The sequence below is a fragment of the Homo sapiens genome, chromosome 13 (genome assembly GCF_000001405.40).
Source record: "Homo sapiens chromosome 13, GRCh38.p14 Primary Assembly".
In the NCBI taxonomy this organism is placed as follows: domain Eukaryota; kingdom Metazoa; phylum Chordata; class Mammalia; order Primates; family Hominidae; genus Homo; species Homo sapiens.
This window is the reverse complement of record NC_000013.11, coordinates 106,653,564-106,673,031: the sequence shown is the minus strand read 5'-3', so window position 1 is coordinate 106,673,031 and position 19,468 is coordinate 106,653,564. Positions and strand designations below refer to the sequence as shown.

Here is a 19,468-nt window from a genome sequence, read left to right as displayed (position 1 = left end):
AGTTTCCAAAATTAAAGGAGAGTTCTGTCTCCAGAACAAAGGTGAACAAGAGCTGCTCGGGCAAAAATAGCACGTGGTCTGCTGCACATGAAACACCCAAATCTATAGAAAATCTAATACTCTCCCCAATGCTACAGTTACACTTGATTACAGAGAAAATAAACGCAGCATAATAAACAATAAGACAGAGGGAAGTTAATGAGGTAAAGACCAAGTTAATGATAAACCCAACAATGAACAATCTGGTTAACTACACATTAGAATTGATTTCCTTCTAAAGTTTAAGAAACTTGTTCCCTTAATATTGATGATATTTTGTCCACAAAGTTTTAAAAGTTCAAGTTCATCTCTCAATTTCTTACAATGACATTGGAAAATTAAATAATATTCATCCACTGAACCAAAGCCCATTGTGTAACTCAGGTTTATATTTGCATATTTCTGCTGCCTCCATTGCCCCAAATTTCAGTCAAGCAGGAAACAGAACAGATTTCCGGTCAGAATCAAGCAAACTACATACATCTACCCTACAAATTATATTGGCAAAAATAAATAAGAAGGGACTTATTGTGGCCATCTGTAAGATGACTTCAATAACTAGTAAGGCAGAGAGTTGAATTTTTACAATGTGCTGTTGGGAACCATATGAAATCCTTTATAAACCAAAATTTATATTTAGACTTGGAAGAGCAAAAATGAGTCCAGACTTCTTTGATAACCTCGCTTGTCAATGAATAAAGGGTTGACCCTTTACCCCAACATATATATTATTTTTAAAAATAAGTCTTCTAAATATGCACACCATTTGCTAATATATCTTAAGGCACAATATACAGATAAGGAATCATTGCTAATAATAGTGAATGTCTTTTATTACGTATGCATTATATAATATTATATATGGGATGAGAAGTAAAGAAAAGGGATGGAGGAAAGGAGAGATTGGGAGAGATTTTTCCTTGTTTGAATTTTGGAGGATCAACCTCTTGGTCTTGAATAGGTGATCATTATTACTAGTATTGTTGTTTTTTCTTTAATAATATGACTGATGAAGGGCTCCGTAATAGAAAAATGGCTTACTTGGCAGCTTGCTTGTGTTTGCATTATTACTATTAGCTTCATTCATTGGTTTCTTTTCAGAAAACTTTAAATTCCTTTTACGGAGCGTTAATTTAAAATAGATAATATCTGCAGAACCCAGCACACTCGAGCTGTAATGAACAGCAACCTTCTGGAAAGGAGCCAGGCTGCATGGGCCTCGCCTGCCCCACACCTCAGGCACTGCGCACGGAAACCATGCGCCATCCAGTGCAAGCAAAGGGAGCGCATGGTGTCAACAGATATGCTTCACATTTCGTATGCTCGATTTCTCTCATTTTTCAGTGATCTCATGCTTTACCCCACACAACAATAAGCCCTCCGGAGCATCGCTTCAAGCAGACACAGTCCACTGCAGACCACTCGACATGAAGCACAGAAGACTTCGGGACAGGGCTGGCCTGAAGCTTCGTGGTCCCTGTAGAAGAAAATTATGCTCTCACTGTGTAAAACAAAACAGTACGATGGTGACACAGTAGGAAAGCAAAAGAGAAAATTTCAATACTAGAAAGCTTACTGATTTGTTTCAGATTGAATTATTAATACTCATATGATACACCTAGAAAAAATAGTATCCAAGAGTACTAGTCCTATGCCTTAACAACTATCTTTTAAAAATAATTTTAGAAGTATTTTTGCAGAATATTTTAACTGAATTTGCTATTTTCATTCCAAAATTTGTCGTTTCTTTGATCAATGACTAATTACGTAGAGCAAAGTTCTTCATTTAAATTCTATGATATCTGATCTTGCTAAAAATACACCAGAAAAAAAATGCTGGGCATCTTTCATTTTTTATTTTTCATAAACCTTTCAAAGTATTAATATAACTTCTGATGAGTATTCTTTCAGAAAGAAAGAATTATATAGTGCAGACCATATAATTACTAAAATGAAAGATGAAAATTACTAGTAATAGTAATGAAATAGTAAGCGTTGTATTTGTGTGGAAATTAGTAATTTCATCTTACTAAGTAATTTCAACTGTATTATGATAAAACTTTAACATCTCCATGTTTCATGGAGGACAAAATGAAGCAATTTCCATTAATGAATCAAGATACATTTCCCATTTTAAAACACAAATGGAGTAAACTGTTGGTAATTAGACTCAAAACTATTCAATCAATTCCTATTTTTGTTAAATAATAACACATTTAGGGAGAGTTAAGAATCTAACTGCTTCTATTCTTTTTACCATGGCTCCTGAAATCTCAAAAGCATTTCAAAACGTCTACTTTACCTCCCTAAAGATGGGTATAACTCACTGTCTTATGAACAGAAGTATTTTTTTGAAATTTCTATCTAATGTCCTTGAGAAATAGAATAGCCACAAATTATTACAGCTTCTAGCATTTCAAGACACTCTGCAGAATAACTGCAAAAATATCAAGATTCAGAAAAAATTATGAATGACTCAGTTTGATTTTCAGCTGATTCAAAATCTTGATAGTATTTAAGTTTACAGATTATTTAATTAGCATTAGGCAAAAAAAAAGAGACATTACCTCGCCATGTTTCTGTTTTTCCTACTAAAAGATACTATGTAAAAACAGCATAGTAAGCACTGAAGAGTTTTAAATACATTTGCAAAACCTTTTTATTTCAACTATGTTGAATTTTAAGAAAAATGTATAGTTTGTATAGTTTGAATATCTGCAATAATAGTGTTTTCTGTGCAAAAAGAACAAATGTAGAGTGCAGCTGACAGATTAAGTTCTATTTCAGGGTTCAGTTACAAGTAAAGAAACAGAGGAAAAGGAAAGAAAGGTAAAATTACAGAATGATCGTGTGTTCCAAAGAAATCCATCATCCAGCGTTTTCTGCAGGATATCAGTTGATAGGATCAAAAGATAAAAGCCTCATTTGACAATTAAATCTCCTAAATAGGAAAACATTTTAAGTGCCAGGCAGAATCCAGTTTATAAATGCTCAGATGTGCTCCAGATTCTGTCCTCAGGACATCTAAGTTATGTGTTCTTCTAAGGGGAATCTTAAAAGGAATAGTTATTGAAATGATATTATACTGAATTTTTCCAGACTTTCATTATACACACTAGATTCTCCTGTGGATTATGTTCCCACACTCAACTGACTACTTAATGCTGGTCCTACAGTTTTCTTGTCCTGACATCTAAGTTGCCTTAATTGTAAAATGGCTTTCGTTTGTTTTTTTTTGTCAAATTCAAATGTGAATAGTCTTCCAGTATTTGCCTGCCTTTTACTAAATAATAGAGACCCTGCTTGGCAAAAGGACTGTTAATTATATTGTAAGAAAAATAGCTGAAGAACTTGCAAATAGAAATGAAAAGACTTAAGGAGAATGTTATAGTTATGTTGAAATACTTGAAGGATTGTCAAATGAAAGAGACACATATTTATCTTGTTAACTCCAGAGAGGTTGACTGTGACTAATGGATGACAATTTTTAAAAGTAGTTTTTAGTCCAAAAGAAGGGAAAAGACTTGAATGGTAATGGTAGCCCAGGAGTAGATGGGGTGGTCTGGTAAAAAATTAAGCAGAGATTGGTTATTTATGGAAGAAAAATAATGCAGAAATCTCTCAACTGTGAAGAAGTTAATGAATCTAGATAGTTGCTAAGGAAACTTTCAACTCCAAGAGTCTTTGATTCAGTGGTTTTCTTCCAGTCCCTCGTCCCATTTACCTCCGCCTGATGCCATCTTCCATCATACCGTTATCAGATAAACTGTCTTGTAGAGTACTTTTTCTTCCTGTTTATTGACCCTCAAGTTGTCTTCATTTCAGACTCTGATACTCTCCAAACTACATGATCACAAGCAAATTTCTTAACTGTTGAGATCTGCAATATCCTATCTACTCATGTAAAGCATTTAGCACAACTCCTGGCACCTAGCAATTACTAATTGTTTGCCATTATTAGCCATTATTATTTGTACCCCGACTCTCAAATCAGCCTCTCCAATGAGGCATCCACCCACTAATCAGACCCAGATTTGGTCGATCACTTAAGAAATTTCTCTCACTCTCAGGCATGCAGTTATTTTCAGCTGCTTTGAATTTGCTTGGAGACATTTGGAGAGAGTGGTGAAATTGCACTACAGTAGAAGAATCAGGATCCTCGGATGAGAATTGCTCCCTTTAAATGCAGAGGTCTACTGATGTAGCTCAGTCTAGAACTCTTCAGAGATACAAAATGCCCACTTGGAAAAAGAGAACATTGGGTCTTCTGTGGATGGCCCAGGCTTCGGCTATGTTTATGGCTTTCAGTCAGATCAAAACATGGCACAAACACTGGGAGATTCCTCCCTGGAAAATAAAAGGAACATTAAACCCAGGTCGAAGACATTCAACGAAATAACCAACTCGTACTCCTCAAAATTGTCAGGGACATGAAGGGCAAGAAAAGTGAGGAATGGCTACAATTTGGAGGAAATTAATGAGACAGGACAATTAAACTTGATATGGGATCCTGAAATGGATCCTGGAATGGAAAACAGACAGTTTGAATACTTGGCAAAATTCTAATGTGGCCTGTAATTTAGCCAATAGCCTCATATCCTCATTCACTTCCTCAGTTTGCTACTTGTACTATGGTTATATAAGGTGTGAACATAGAGGAAGCTGGGTGAGGAGCACAGAAAACTCTCTGCACAATGTTTATAAATTTTTGTAAATAAAATTATTTTTCTATAAAAGTTTAAAATGCAAAATATAATTTTTTTGAATCTGTTTATTAATTTTTACGAGACTGACAGATACAATTTTATGTACTTATCATGTACAGCATGATATTTTGAAGTATATATACATTGTGGAATAGTTAAATCTAGTTAATTAACATATACATTATGTCACACAGCTATTTTTTGGTGAGAGTATTTAACATCCACTCATTGCATTTTTAAAGAATACAATATACAAGGTGGCTGTAGCTAAACTATAATATTTTTACATTTTAAATAATATGTTAAAATATTTAAAAATATTTTAAAGAGCAATATCATCACAAGTACTAATTATTCCTGTGCACATCTCCCACCCTGTGAAACACAGATACATACATACACACAGCACTGAAAGGAAGAAAAAGCAAATTTTTAAACATTTTACATCAATTGCTATGGACTGAACTGTGCTTCTTCCTCAAAATTCATATGTTGAAGCCCTACCTCCTGTTGGGACTGTATTTGGAGATAGGACCTTTAAGAGGTCATTGTGGCCTCGCCCTTATGACTTCATTTGACCGTAATTACCTCCTAAGAGAGGCAGCACGTCTCTTCTACCCGCTTCTCACACGGGGACACAGTGAGAAGGCAGCCATCTGCCCACCGTGAAGAGCGCCCTCACCGGATCCAGACCATGCTGGCACCTAGATCTTGGACTTCCAGCCTCCAGAACTGTGAGAAAATAAATTTCTGTTGTTTAAGCCACCCAGTCTGTGGTCTTCTGTGATGGCAGCTTAAGCAGACCAATACCTCAGTGTATCAGTTTTCTACTGCTGCCATCACAAATTACCACAAATTCAGGGACTTCAAACAGCACACATTTATTATATGACACTCCTGGAGGTCAGAAGTTTGACACAGGCCTCCCTGAGTTAACATCCAGTGTCAGCAGGACCATGTTTCTTTCTAGAGGCTCAGGCAAACAAGCCATTTCCCCACCTTTTCCACCTTCTAGAAACACTATGCATTCCTTGGTTCATGATCCCCTTCCTCCACCTTCAAAGCCAGCAACAAGAAATCTCTCCCCGGCCCTGCTCCCATCGTCATGTCTCTCTGTGACCACAGAGGGAAAGGTCATGCCCTTGGACACACTCATGTATCTAGATGGGCTCACCCTGATAATCTAGAATGGTTTTCCAATTTCAAGGATCATACCTGTAATGGTTAATATCCGGTATCAACTTGATTGGATTGAAGGATACAAAGTATTGTTCCTGGGTGTGTCTGTGAGGGTGTCGCCAAAGGAGATTAACATTTGATCAGTGGACTGGGAGAGGCAGATCCACTCTCAATCTGGGTGGGCACCATCTAATCAGCTGTCAGTGCAGGTAGAATAAAGCAGGTAGAAGAGCGTGGAAGGACTAGACTGGCTAGGCCTTCTGGCCTCCATCTTTCTCCTGTGCTGGATGCTTCCTGCCCTTGAGCATCAGACTCCAAGTTCTTCATCTTTTGGACCCTTGGACTTACACCAGTGGTTTGCCAGGGGCTCTCAGGCCTTCAGCCACAGACCGTAGGCTGCACTGTCGGCTTCCCTACTTTTGAGGGTTTAGGACTCGGACTGGCTTCTGGGCTCCTCAGCTTACAGATTGTAGGACTTCACCTTGTGATCGTGTGAGTCAATTTTCCTAATGAACTCCCCTTCATATATTCATCTTTCCTATTAGTTCTGTCCCTTTAGAGAGCCCTAATACAGTACCCTTAATTTTATCTGCAAAGGCCCTCTTGCTGTGCACGGTGGGTAACACGCATGTTCCAGGAGTTTTGCTGTGGCCATCATTGGGGCCACTCTCTGACTGCCACTATTAATCTCCGTTGACGCAGAAACCTGTTGGGATTCAAACTTACATGACTATCAGATACGATGCCACTTAGATCAAATAAAGGTGATTAGGAACTAACTTGTAACTTCCCTGGAAGATGAGCACAGAACAGTGCAGCTAGGAATCCCTGAAAGATATACTCTAGCTTGGCAGATGAGGCTGGAGAAAGAAAGAACAGAAAACAGAAAAGTTGGTGTTTGTTCACATATCACATGGGCAGGATTTGAGCTGCTGATGACATGGAAGGAAGAGAGAAAACAGAAATCAAGCAATATGTGCCTTTTTCCTTTGGAGTAAGCTCCTTAACTTGGACGTATAAGGCCTTTGCTTTGAAGCTGTGGAGAAGATATAACTATGAAGATAAAAATATACACTCACCTAGAAAACTAAAAGTTTAAACTAGCTTGTAAGCTAGTTTAAACTCACTTTTTCATCAAAAAGGTCATTTCAGTCATAAAGGAAAAGCAAACATAGACATATCAGGGCAACACAAATAGACAAAAATTTCTCCAGGAATAAAGCAACTAGAAAATATAAGGGAAGGAAAATTGCATTCACCCGAATAATTCTAATCATGAGGTAACTAAGAATTCACTTAGTGAACAATAAAGAAAACTATAAAAATGATAAAATTCTACCGAGGGACATGGAGAAGAAAGCCTTCACTGCACAGAGATCTACGTTATCCTTGGGGAAGAATGTTCTGGTTTGTAGCTGTGAGGAGGAAGGGCGGAAGCACAGCAAGGTATAGAATGGGCAAAGGAAGCTTCCGAAGGGAAAATATTTGAGCTTCATCCATTGGACTCATTGATGGAAAGGCCTATTTAATGTTTTTAATAATATTAGTCTCCACTTATTCCACGTCTAGTACTTTGCACGGAGCTTGCATAATTGTTTCCTTGAGCATAACCTGAGATAAAGTAGCCCACACTTTCACATTTGTAAAGTGTTCATGTATGAATTCCATAAGAATTTAACCCTCAAGAAACAGGAATAATTTGTAAATACGCTCATGATGCCTATTTCAGTCCTTATGTTGATTTACTGATATTGAAACCCTAGTATTCTAAATTATTTGCCACGGAACAACTAGAAATTCATAGAAATTATTTTCTAATTTGAAGGAACTTCTACCCTACAATTAGCTCCATTTTTAATCAGCACAAGTACTGTAGTATTATATAAAAGGGTGAATGACTGACTCGATTTGTCTTGTTTTTTTAATTTTTTTTAAATGTTCCTCATATGAACTTCATTTTCATCATATCTCAGCTTCATCAATTCTAAGCACAGTTGCTGTATATTTTAGGTTTCTCCTTCTTAAGTAAATATGTCTAAAACAATAATTGATCGTTTTAAATGACAAATCTTTTGTTTAGAGGTTTCTGACTTCGCATTTAGAAATTAAACATGTTTAGCAATTTATAATGAAAATCATTAACTCTAGTTATTATAGTATAGGAAAAATATATTTAAAAATAAATTATGCAAGAAATAATTTTAATCTTTTTGTAATTTGGAATTTTTCCATATCTGCTTTATCATCTACTGTTTTTAAAAATATATAAATAAATCAAATTAGTTGTAAAAGTGTTCACTTAACTCCCTTAGTATTTAAATTTCTGTCTAGCTGTGTAGATATAATCTAGTAGTCAAATTGTGGCATTATTGTTTCAAATATTTTGTATTATGTTAATGATTTATTAAGCCTGTTCAACTCTTCATCTAGTCTGGAGAGAACTCCACAGGGTGCAGATCATAAAGGAGGCTCAATCATCAAAGAATGTGTAACACTGGGAAATAAAGGGAAGTTAGAAGTGAGAGGACAAATGTCAGTTCCTAGGAAAAGTCAAGAGGTGGGCCCTGATGGCAGGAGTCATTCTCAGCTGACTGCCCCAGGGCCTGGTCATCAAGCTGTCCATTTCCCTGGCAGAACAGAAGGTCTTCAGACCCTTCACAGCCTCTACTACTGAGTATGTAAAATGTGAAAGAAATAAAATCAAAATTGTCCTCCAGTATTGAATCCCATATGACTGAACTAACCCTGTGTGTGATTCGTGGCTTCCTAATAGTTTTGTCGCTGAGCCCTTGTTCTTTTCTGTACGGTAGAGGAGTATGTTAAATCTATTTGGGTAGGTCACATCTCTAGACTGTTTTCACTCCAGGAGAGTGGCAGTGAGGCTTCATCAGGGCTGAGAGCCTGAGTCCAGGAAAAAATGAGATTGTAGTCCAAGTGTGCTTTCAGGCTCTGGGAAGCAACACTGAAAGGCGGAAGCAGTCCTTGTTGAGGAAGGGGTGCGTTCTCCCATACAGCCCTTACAGGGCTCTTCTTCCTCACTCGTGCCAGAGTGACCAGTGTGCTTGAGGCCCGCAGGCCCTTCTCCTGGGCATGGGAGGTGGGGGTGGAAGAGCTTCCACTCCACTAGCTCTTTTCTTTCTTTTATTTTCTTTTTTCGTTTTTTAGAGAAACGTGTTCAATGGTAAAGCTTAGCACACCGCAGAACCAGGAATGGCATGGAGTCACAGCAGCATGCACAGGCAGGTGACCCCCACAGAGCCTCACATGACAAAGAGGATGAGGAAGGTGGTCATTCAACAGAAGAGCCCCATGGCCTCAGATAGGGCAAAGCCTAGAGTGGCATAGGAGAAGAGCTGCTGCTTGAGAGACAGGTTCCTGGCATAGCCAATGATCAAGCTGCCAAACACTTTTCCAATGCCAGCCCCTGAACCAGCCACACCAACTGTGGCTGCCCCAGCACCAATCAACTTGGCTGCTATGTCAATGTCCCGGGAGACAATACTGGTCTGGAACTCCCGTCTGGCCACCCGCAGTGGGGAGCTGCTGTAGGAAGGCTGTTTAGGTGAATTATCTGGGCTATTCAAGAAGGAGGCAGATACAGTCCTGATTAGACCCCAGGTACAACAGAGGTTCCAAGCTGGAGAAATGAGTAATGCCCCTGTGGTCTGCATTGTTTCAGTCTCCCAGCTTTAGCCCTTGGTCTCAGCGCTCCAGCTCTTTTCTTCTTTTTACTTTATTGGGACTTTTGCTGCATGGAGGAAGATGGAAATAAAGCTTCAGAACAATACAGTTGAAACATTGGTTGTGAGACTCTTTGTTCTAACATTTGCTGGGGGGGTTGGCAGGGTGGGTGTCTAATTAAGCCATAGGGGCTTAAATTAGAATTTGAGAAAAAATTTACTCTTTCTCAAAGAAAAGTCACACCTAGATGTCCAAACAGGTGGGCTTATTGGCTTAAAGCAGCGGACCCAGCAGTGGTCAAGAAGGTAGAACAGCCAAAGCACCCATGTCGTAATCCACTTCAGAAAGGAAAACAAACTAGCGTGGTCTGAGGCCAACTGAAAAAAACGACTGTCTCAGAACCCAGGACTGCTATTGACGGGTTGACTCAATAGACATCAGTGCAAATCGTATACAAGAAACCATGTGTGCTGTTAGAAGCAAATGACTGCTTAGAGGAACAGAGGAAGGAAGTGCCATTAAGAAGTAATGGATGGGCCAGGCAAGGTGGCTCACACCTGTAATACTAGCTCTTTGGGAGGCTGAGGAGGGAGGGTTTCCTGAGGCCAGGAATTTGAGACCAGCCTAGGCAATATAATGAGAACCCATCTCTTAAAAAAAAAATTTTTTTTTAATTGGCCCAATTTGGTTGCATGTGTCTGTAGTCCCAGCTACTCAGGAGACTGAGGCAGGAGGGTCACTTGAGTCCAGAAGTTCGAGGCTACAGTGAGCCATGATTGCACCACTGCACTCTAGCCTGGGTGACAGAGTGAGACTCTAAGAAAAAGGAGTGAGACTCTGTCTTTAAGGGAAAAAAAAAAGTAGTAATGAATACACACACAAATATGCGAATCTAAATAAATATATAGGCTCAGTACATAATAGATAGAGCTTACTCTGTTGAATGTCTGAACTCGCCACCAAGACTTTGGTTCTCAGCAAAGTTGAGAGTGGGAGAAAGAGGAAGGTGAAGCCAATACAGAGTAACCCTGTGAGTACCTCTTCCTTCACCCTGATCTTTCCAGTAGGCTCCTGGCTCCTTGTCCCCACCTTTCTTCATGTCCTCCTCTCAAAGAAGTCACTCATTAGCACCTGCGTCATCAGAGGACGTTTCCACACAAAATAATGAGTTGCACAGATAACATTAGAGTTTTTGTTGGAATATATTTTTGAAAAATCTAAATGATTCTCTTTTTTTTTCTTAACACCTTTGGTGTTAGGTTCTTGTTTGTTTTGTTTTCTGGAATTGCAGAAGAAAAATATTCCCCTGACCTTATGCTCACGCAGAGTCAAATAAACTACCTTGAAAACATTTAGGGAAGTTAATTACAGAAAATACTTTTTTTCCTTTCACTGTTGTGCAGCTATGGGTGTAAAACTAGACCATAGAGAAATGGCATGCTTTACCCCAAGGCATGAAACTGTAGTGGGAAGAAGAGAAGGAGGTGGGAGGTGAGGAGATGGAAGGAAAGTTGATGCCCCGAGACTCCCTCTACCTTGTAGGCTGCTCCTCCTGGACACTTTCCTTCAGAAATCACTCCATTTCCACACCAGGTCTTCCGTCCCTAAACCCAGAAAATGATTCCACGGGTGATGGCCTCAGAGCAAGCCCTTCTGAGCCCTCTCCAGTCCCCCATCTGTCCGACTATCCTCTTAATAACCTTTTCATTGAATTCCAGAGGGCTTCAGCCCATAGTAAAATGAAATTACAAGTATTAAACCTTGATCTCTCTTGAATATAATTCATTGCAAACACTTGTGCCCTTAATCCTTAGCACCCAAATAGCATATTTTTTTAAATCCTCTTATTGATACCCTTTTAATTATTACTCCCAGGAGAGGAAAAAAAATCTGCCATGACCCAGCCACCTCTCACCTTGTCTCTTTATTTTTCCTTTTGTTCAACAAGAATCTGGTGGCCTTTTTCTCACATTATCCCATTATGCATGCTCACTGCGAGGTGGCATTCTTGTCTGTATGTGACACAATGTGTCATTGTCCAAAGGCTACCTACATCAGCCTACTCGGGAAAAAAGAGCCTTTTACCACACACAAAAAATAAATCTGTTCAGATTACCCACTTTAATCATTTGGTTAAGTATAGAGCAATAAGCAACAATACATTTTTTTATTCTCACTAGGGACAGAACGATGTTTAATTGGGCATTTAAAAGCGACTGTTAACTTATACAGACCTCATCACAAATGGTTTTTCAACCAGCTCAGTGATCTGAAACACCAATTAGTTTCAATTCACACTTATTATCTGTCCCTCATTAAACCATTTAGTTCAGAATCTAAATTCTTTTCTATTCAAGAGTGTTGATGTTTTACTTTAGGTAGGAGGAATTTTCTTTCTTTTTTTTTTTTTTTGCCTTTCTAAAAAGGCATTCTGCAAAATGTCTTCCCATATATCTTCTTTTTTAATTAAACAAGCAAGGCAGAGCTTCTTTTCCTGAAAATTCTCTTTGTTGATACTGTTGTTCTTAAGTCCGATCTATCCCATCAGGGGCTTCGTGGAGGGCTCTGGTGATTACTTTTCCAATGCTGCTGGTCCTGTGAGCATTTGCAGCTGTGCCTGTCAAAACCCAGCTCCAATGCTGCCACCTTGATCTCTGGGTAAGGCCTGGCCTCTCTGGGTATCTCTCTTTCAAATGGAGTCACAGTTCATCCTCCTGCAAGGGCTCATGGTCTCCATAGCAGATTTTTTTTTTTCTCACTTCAAAGTCTAGCTTTAGGACACAAAAGGTACACAGAAAGAGCATGCAAGGACTATTGGTCAAGGTACTCCAGAGAAACAGAATCCATAGAAGATAGAGAGAAAGAAGCTTTAGGGAATTGGCTCGGTTGTAGAAGTGACAAGTCCAAAATCTGCATCAGCCCCCAAGGCTGGAAATTCAGGGAAGAGTTAAAATGTTGCAACCTTGAGTCCAAATTTTGCAGGGATGCAAGCTGGAAACTCAGGCAGAACTTCTATGTTTAACACTTGAAAAGAATTTTTTTCTTTTTCAAGAAACCTTAGTCTTTTCTCTTAAATCCATTGGCTGATTGGATTAGGCCTACCCAAATCACACAGGGTCATCTGCTTTAAGTCTACTGATTTAAATCTTAATCACATCTAAAACATACATCCACAGCAATGTTAGGATTTATATTTGACCAAACAAAACTGGGCTTTATGGCCTAGCCAAGTTGACACATAAAATTACCCATCCTAGGTGGAGGATGTAGCCTGGGATTTCAATAGCAGCTCTGCCACACACTTCCTTCAAGACCTTCCTTGGGCCTCAGTCTCCTTATCTATAACATGGTTCCCCAAATTGAATAAATTAGAAGAAATATGACTTTGGGGCAGTCCAAGGATGAGGAGCATTTGGTTAATAAAGTTGGATTTCCTCTTACTGACATGTCACCAATAAAGTACAAAAAGGGCATAAGCCACTCTTTGAGCCAATCACATTTAAATTCAGATAAGTTTCCAGTTAGTCATATTTCACTGTACTCAAACAATCCCTATCTGGCAATAGGGTCCAAGTAGATTCCTGTTGATGTGGGGAAAGCTTTGGTTTTGAGAGTCGATATGGGAATAACATGATAAATTTAATAAGTTAGACCATCCAAAGTCAAGCAAGATTGTGTTGGACTAGAAAGCTAGTGTATTAATGTGCAATGGAAGTATGGCTATATAGTGCAGAGAAAACTGTAGTAGAAGTCATGTACCCTACATGTGCAATGCTGAATCAGTCACTTGCCCTCTCTTGACCTCAATTTCCTTTCCAGAAGATAGGAAATTTGGACATAATGACTTTAATGTACCTCCCAATTTCAAATGGGAATCTATTAGGATTCATGTTTTCTTCCTGAATCATTTATATTCATTAAGAAGTATTTGATATTGGTTAAGTCAAATGTTTTAAGCTTTTAAGCCTATTAAGGCATAAAGGTAATCTGAAACTTCAAGACTAAAAAATTCTATTTTACTGGGCTCTAGGTCACATAGCATAATAACTATTTATATTAGCTACTGCAATGAAATCAGTCAAAAGTTGTATTTTTATATCATCTATTCAAACTTTTTATTCTCAAAAGATCTTATGACTAAATCTTCCTTTAGCCAATTTGGTATCAACTATTCTTCTTTGAAAGTGCCTAGGGTGATATTTTATTAGACTGTTCTTTCTACAATTTAATATTGCTCAGTGGAATACACTACTTTGTGGGATTAATGGTCCATGTTATTACATCTTTTCGATCAGTTTAGATCCTTCTCACTATTTTTTACTGCTTGGTCTTTGCTTCCAAACTATAATTTCATTAGAGGATAACAGTTAAAATGGTACTATTTTTAGAAAAAAATTCAATAGTGATACATACCTTGTTAAATGAACAACAAATATTTGTTAAGTGGATAAATAAGTAAATTAATACAAATGTATGAGGAAACTCTCCAAGAACTTCAAAGTGCCTTATATAGGACCTTATACATATAAGGTATATGAAAAATAGGTTTAAAAGATTAGAGAAAATAAATGCAAGAAAAGACAGAAAAAAGACATCCAAGTGTTGACTACCCAGCCATATACTCAGCCTTACTTCCATATTTCTCTCACCCTATCCAATGTTCACTCAACACATACTGCTTAAGTATCTACTGTATGTCTGGCACTCTGCTGGCCACGGAAAACACAGCAATGAGCAAAACAGGAATTCCCACCTGATGGAATTTATACCTTCTCATCTCTCTTCTCAAAACCATACAATAGGGGCAGAAGATAGAGATGATACCTTTATAACAAACTAAAAAATTCAAGAGGTTGGTTGTTGTTGTTGTTATTTTTTAAGTAGTGTTGTTTATTTGATTTTCAACAAAATGCTCAATGTACACTTCAGTTGTCAGGCCGCCATGCTTTCCTTTGAAATACAGAGCCTAAATCACATGGATCCTGTCTGCTTCACCCAAGTAAGACACTTGGGCACCCATCAACTGATGCACAGCCAACCCTGATTGACAGCATGAGAGAGTCTCTCTGGGTGTCACTGTTAGTAATGACCTCACAGGACTCACCTTGGGCCTGTGAATGACACAGGACAGGTGTACTTCTCGGCAGTCTCTGTGTCAGATGTGGATCAACCTATCTTCTGGGGCAGCTTCATGCTGTCCTCCAATTTTGTAGCCTTGGGGGGTAAGGCATTGCATCCATTGGATTCAGCGTGTAGTCAATCACTCACAAAGCCATTCACTTGACATTGATTTTCTACCCCTTTTTCACTGTCATGTATAATATCTTGGTACCAAAAAGCATGTTAAGAACAAAATAATTGATTCAAAGGCTTCATAAATATAGTGTCAAAAAGAGATGAAATTCAAACTATTCAATTGAAAAAGGGATTGAGTGCATGAATAAAAGATTTAGTAGGAAGTGCGGTTGGCATTACTGGCTAGAATCAGGCTTGGGGGTTTCCTGTAATTTAAAATTATTTATGCTGCCTAGCAATCATTCATGGAACCCCTACTCTTTGTCCCTTGTGCTAGACCCTGGGAACACAAAGATGGATAGAGATTCAGCCCCTATTCACTCTGGTCCTCAAACCCCAGTCAGATTTTAGATTAACATGTAAACCTTTGACTCTTTGGTATGCCAGAAAAATGTAGGCTTTGTAATCACTTTTCCACACTTTCCCTTTCAAAAGTATAGCTATGTTTATACTGAACACTCATTGAAATGTCCAGTTCATAGTCTTCTTTCTCTTTTACTAATATTCTTTCCGTTTTCTATTTGAAGTTGGTAATGAATGATTAGTTTTCCTCAGAACGTTAAACTAACTATATCTTTCCAAGCAGTTTTAATAACAAAAGAATACTAAACTTGGAGAAGAGGCTTATTACAAAAGTTTTATTGCTAGAAGATTTTTGGCCAAGAGAATTTCCAAGCATATAATTTGCAGGCTTCTACTTTACCCTCCTCAGTCCTCAGAAACGAGAATGGTTGTCCAGTTATTTCTGTCTGCAAAACAATCCTGCCCCATCCCCTAGCCCAGCATAGAAATGCAGATCATTACTTATCAGGCCTGCAGCCACTTCTCCTGATTACATCAGTCAGACGAGACGTCTGCTGATCCTCATCTCAGAAATGGCTCTAGAAAAATGATTCTGAAGACTCTTGATAAGCCTCCCCAAAATTTTACTTATAACTCTAAATATTACATATTTCACTTTTGCAAAAAAGGAAATGTATGAAAATACATTAATATGCTGCACCCCACCCCAAGTTCCTCTTTCCTGTGTCTATTCATAATCGAACTATAAATAAGGTCTAAAAAAACTACAGCCTTCATCTACCAGAGGGAAATGTCCTGCGTTAAGCCTAAATTAAATTGTATTTGTTGTAATTCAAAGATATTTTTCTCAGTCTATTATAATATTCTATTTTTCTGTCATCTATTATCTCCACAAACAGCCATGGAAATAGCTTTACTGATACTAAAATGAGCACCCCAGTTTCTAGAAAGATTAATACGAATTTATTTGCATAATTAATTCAAATGTTCTTAGCTCCTTCCCTGTCATTAGCAAAATAGAATGGAACAGTGAAAAAAAGATTGATAAGCTTTGAAATGATAATAATTCAAAAGGTAGCAAATTATGTCAGCAGGCTATGTCATTTATCTATTTATGCAGTGGGACAATTATTTACTCTGCTTTGTTTCAAAAAGGATTTCAGGTGGCTTCAGTAATTTCTGCAGCGTAATCCATTTGTTGAAAGGAAACTTTTAACTGATAACTTATGAAAGAGTTGGGAAGAAATTTGGGCAAATTACATCCAAGACTTTTAGAGCAAATTACATAATATTTCACACAGTCAAAAAAAAAAAAAAAAAAAAAGGAGGACACCCTAGTTGGACAAGAACCAATGGATTATGGAAATGGTTTGGATTCCTTCAAACTTCCATAATTACTTTCAATTGTGCAGTTTTTCTGACAGCTGAGATTTCTTAGTCAGGCTTCAAAACCATTAGCATTGCATAATTCTGAGCCAATGAATGCAGCTAGCCAATGATTATCACTCCCCTCTAAAACCTTAAAATCACAAAGAAATATTTCTTTCCCACTTTGTACTTATTTGGAGACAAGCATTTAGTGACCCCAAAACCCAGTGCCCTCTTTATCATGCCCTTTGGTCCGTTTTTGATGGCCAATGCTACCATTTAGAGACAGCCTATTACTATCTCTTTCATTTTATTCATCAAAAACTAAAAGAAAGAGAAGTGAGATGTCTCATTCATGCCAAGTCATATACTTTATCAGAGACTGCATAAGAAAAATATAATAAGCCCTGACATTCTGTCTTTCATTCTCTTCATGAATTAATACATCTATTCCTCTAACACTTAATGAAGAATAAACAATGTGACACAAATCTTTTAAATCTTTAGAAAATTCAAACCTCTCTTTCCCATGGCAGTTTCATATTTCTTTATCATACATTTTACATTGTTCATGGGTGAATAGCACAAATAATATGTTTGAGCTGCATTTTCTTACCATTCCCAAATCTATGTGTTAAAATTGATAAAGAAACAAATATTACCATAAAAGCCCAAGACTCATCTTTTGACACCTGCTTTTCTTCTTCCATGTCACGCCTGCCCCTCTTCAGGTTCTGAAAACTACCCCAGTTAAACTTAGTTTGGGATTGGATATGTCAGTTTCACCATAATATAGATTTATGTAATATAATATGGATTCATATTCTTGTGCTATGTCTCCCAGGCATGTGTATTTTAGGAATAAAAGACATTATGTGCAGTTAAAGCAACTGCGTTCCTAAGAGAACAGCAAAGTGCTTGTCCTAGCCAGCCCCACTGCTTTGTAGAGCAGCACATGCTGAGAAGTCCTTCCACAATGGATGAGAACCAAGGTCACCCTTTCACTTTGTGTTTTTTTTTTTGGTTGTTGTTGTTGTTGTTTGTTTTGTTTGTTTTGAGATGGAGTTTCACTCTGTCACTCAGGCGGGAGTGCAGTGGTGCGATCTCAGCTCACTACAACCTCTGCCTCCCAGGTTCAAGCAATTATCCTGCCTCAGCCTCCCGAGTAGTTGGGATTACAGGCGCCCACCACCAAGCCCAGCTAATTTTTTGTACTTTTTAGTAGAGATGAGATTTTACCATGTTGGCCACGCTGGTCTTGAACTCCTGACCTCAAGTGATCTGCCCACCTCAGCCTCCCAAAGTGCTGGGATTATAGGCGTGAACCACCGCACACAGCCCACCCTTTCACTTTGGAAGTGACGGTGAGCAGCAAATAACCAGGACAAAGATGTGAAAGACAAAAGTGTAAAATACCATCTCTCAAGTTTATGGCCTAGTGGGAGTGAATAAAACAAACAAGTAATTATAGTATGAAGCATAATAATACCGGGGTCAGTAGAGATACAAAATCATTTAAGAGAAAGAAATTCATATTTATTGTGTGACTTCTAAATACTGAGCATTACACATGTGTTTTCAAGAGTTCTCAAAGAGAAATTATTATCCCTGCTGGAAAAATGGGAAAACTAAGGGTAATCAAGCTCATTTCCCCAAGAGTATGTAACAAACAAATAGCAAAGTCAGAGACTGAGCCATGATTTTCTGGCACGCTCTTTCCCCGTACAATGTGCTGGAAACGCAGAAGGGGCCACATCTGACCGAAGCAGCTTTGCAAAGTAACTGGCATTTGAGATGGTCCTTGGCAGACAGGATCTCAAAAGCTGAGTTGAGAATCAAGAGGGAATTCCAGGCAAAGAGATAGGCTTGAACAAACATTGTCGAGATGGAGAATGTAAGACATGTTCAAAAGAAAACATTTTGTCTGAATTTTAGAAAATACAGGATAGTGTAGATGCACTTGGACCTGGACCCAGAATACATGGGTCCTAATCACCACTAGGTCACTGAGGTGTAAGCCCTGAAATTGGGGTTCAATATTAAGTGAGGCTTTGACATCTGATAAAATCAGGCTTCAAATGACCACAAGTTTCCCTCCCCACTCTGCTCTGACAGGTAAGGTCCCCTAGCCAAAAACACTAATTCACCAGGGGACCAGGCACAGTTCCTGCTTATCTTTGGGTAGTAGGTTTTGGTTCCCTGCCAGCCTACAAAATTAGTCATACACCCCCATGAACACAGCCACTCACCCCCATGAACACAGCAAAAACGGGGGCCAAGTCCCCTTCTTGTTACTACAAACCCACCTTTCACAGGCCCTGGCTGTTCACTCTGTTCTTGAACCATCGCGTGGCCCTGTGGGCTGTCCGCTGTCTTCTTCCCTAGGCTGTGAGCATATGTGACAACTAAACTGCATTCTGCCCCACTTTTCTGGGATCCAGCGTCATCTGTTTGGCGATCTTCATAATCCTAGTGTAGGAATCCTTCCCTCAAAACAGCGTGACAAGGAGACAAATAACCACTCTTAGCCATGCGCCTTTGGGGAAGCTGCTTCACCTCTGTGTGCGTCTGTTTCCTCACCTGTGGAAACACATGTGATCATAATGCCTATTTCATAAGTCTCCTATAAGTGCCATAGATGTTCGGTGGCTGTTAATCATGGGTGGCCCTGATATTTTAAAATATTTAATTCTTACCACAAACCAATAATGTAGATATAGTTATTATCATCATTATCATTTTTTACTACCAATGAGGAATTTGAAGCAGAGAGCAGGGACATAACTTGCCGCAGATCCCACAGCTAAGTGGCTGAGCCATAATTGAGATTCAGGCAGTCTGGTTGCCGAGCCTTTATTAGTAGAGAGATGACTGAGAGGTCCCCAAATCCACCCACT

At 38.6% G+C, this 19,468-nt stretch overlaps 1 long non-coding RNA gene and 1 pseudogene across 1 annotated transcript; both read right to left on the bottom strand.

Annotated features, from left to right (window-relative positions):
- Positions 1-851: 851 nt before the first annotated feature.
- LINC00443 (long intergenic non-protein coding RNA 443) lies at positions 852-19,152 on the bottom strand. Its single transcript, NR_047026.1, has 3 exons — positions 18,878-19,152; positions 4,104-4,386; positions 852-1,516 (listed from the first exon to the last, which is right to left on the bottom strand). It is a non-coding gene; the product is annotated as a long intergenic non-protein coding RNA 443 (long non-coding RNA).
- On the bottom strand, positions 9,085-9,640 carry ATP5MC1P5 (ATP synthase membrane subunit c locus 1 pseudogene 5; annotated as a pseudogene).
- Positions 19,153-19,468: the final 316 nt, after the last annotated feature.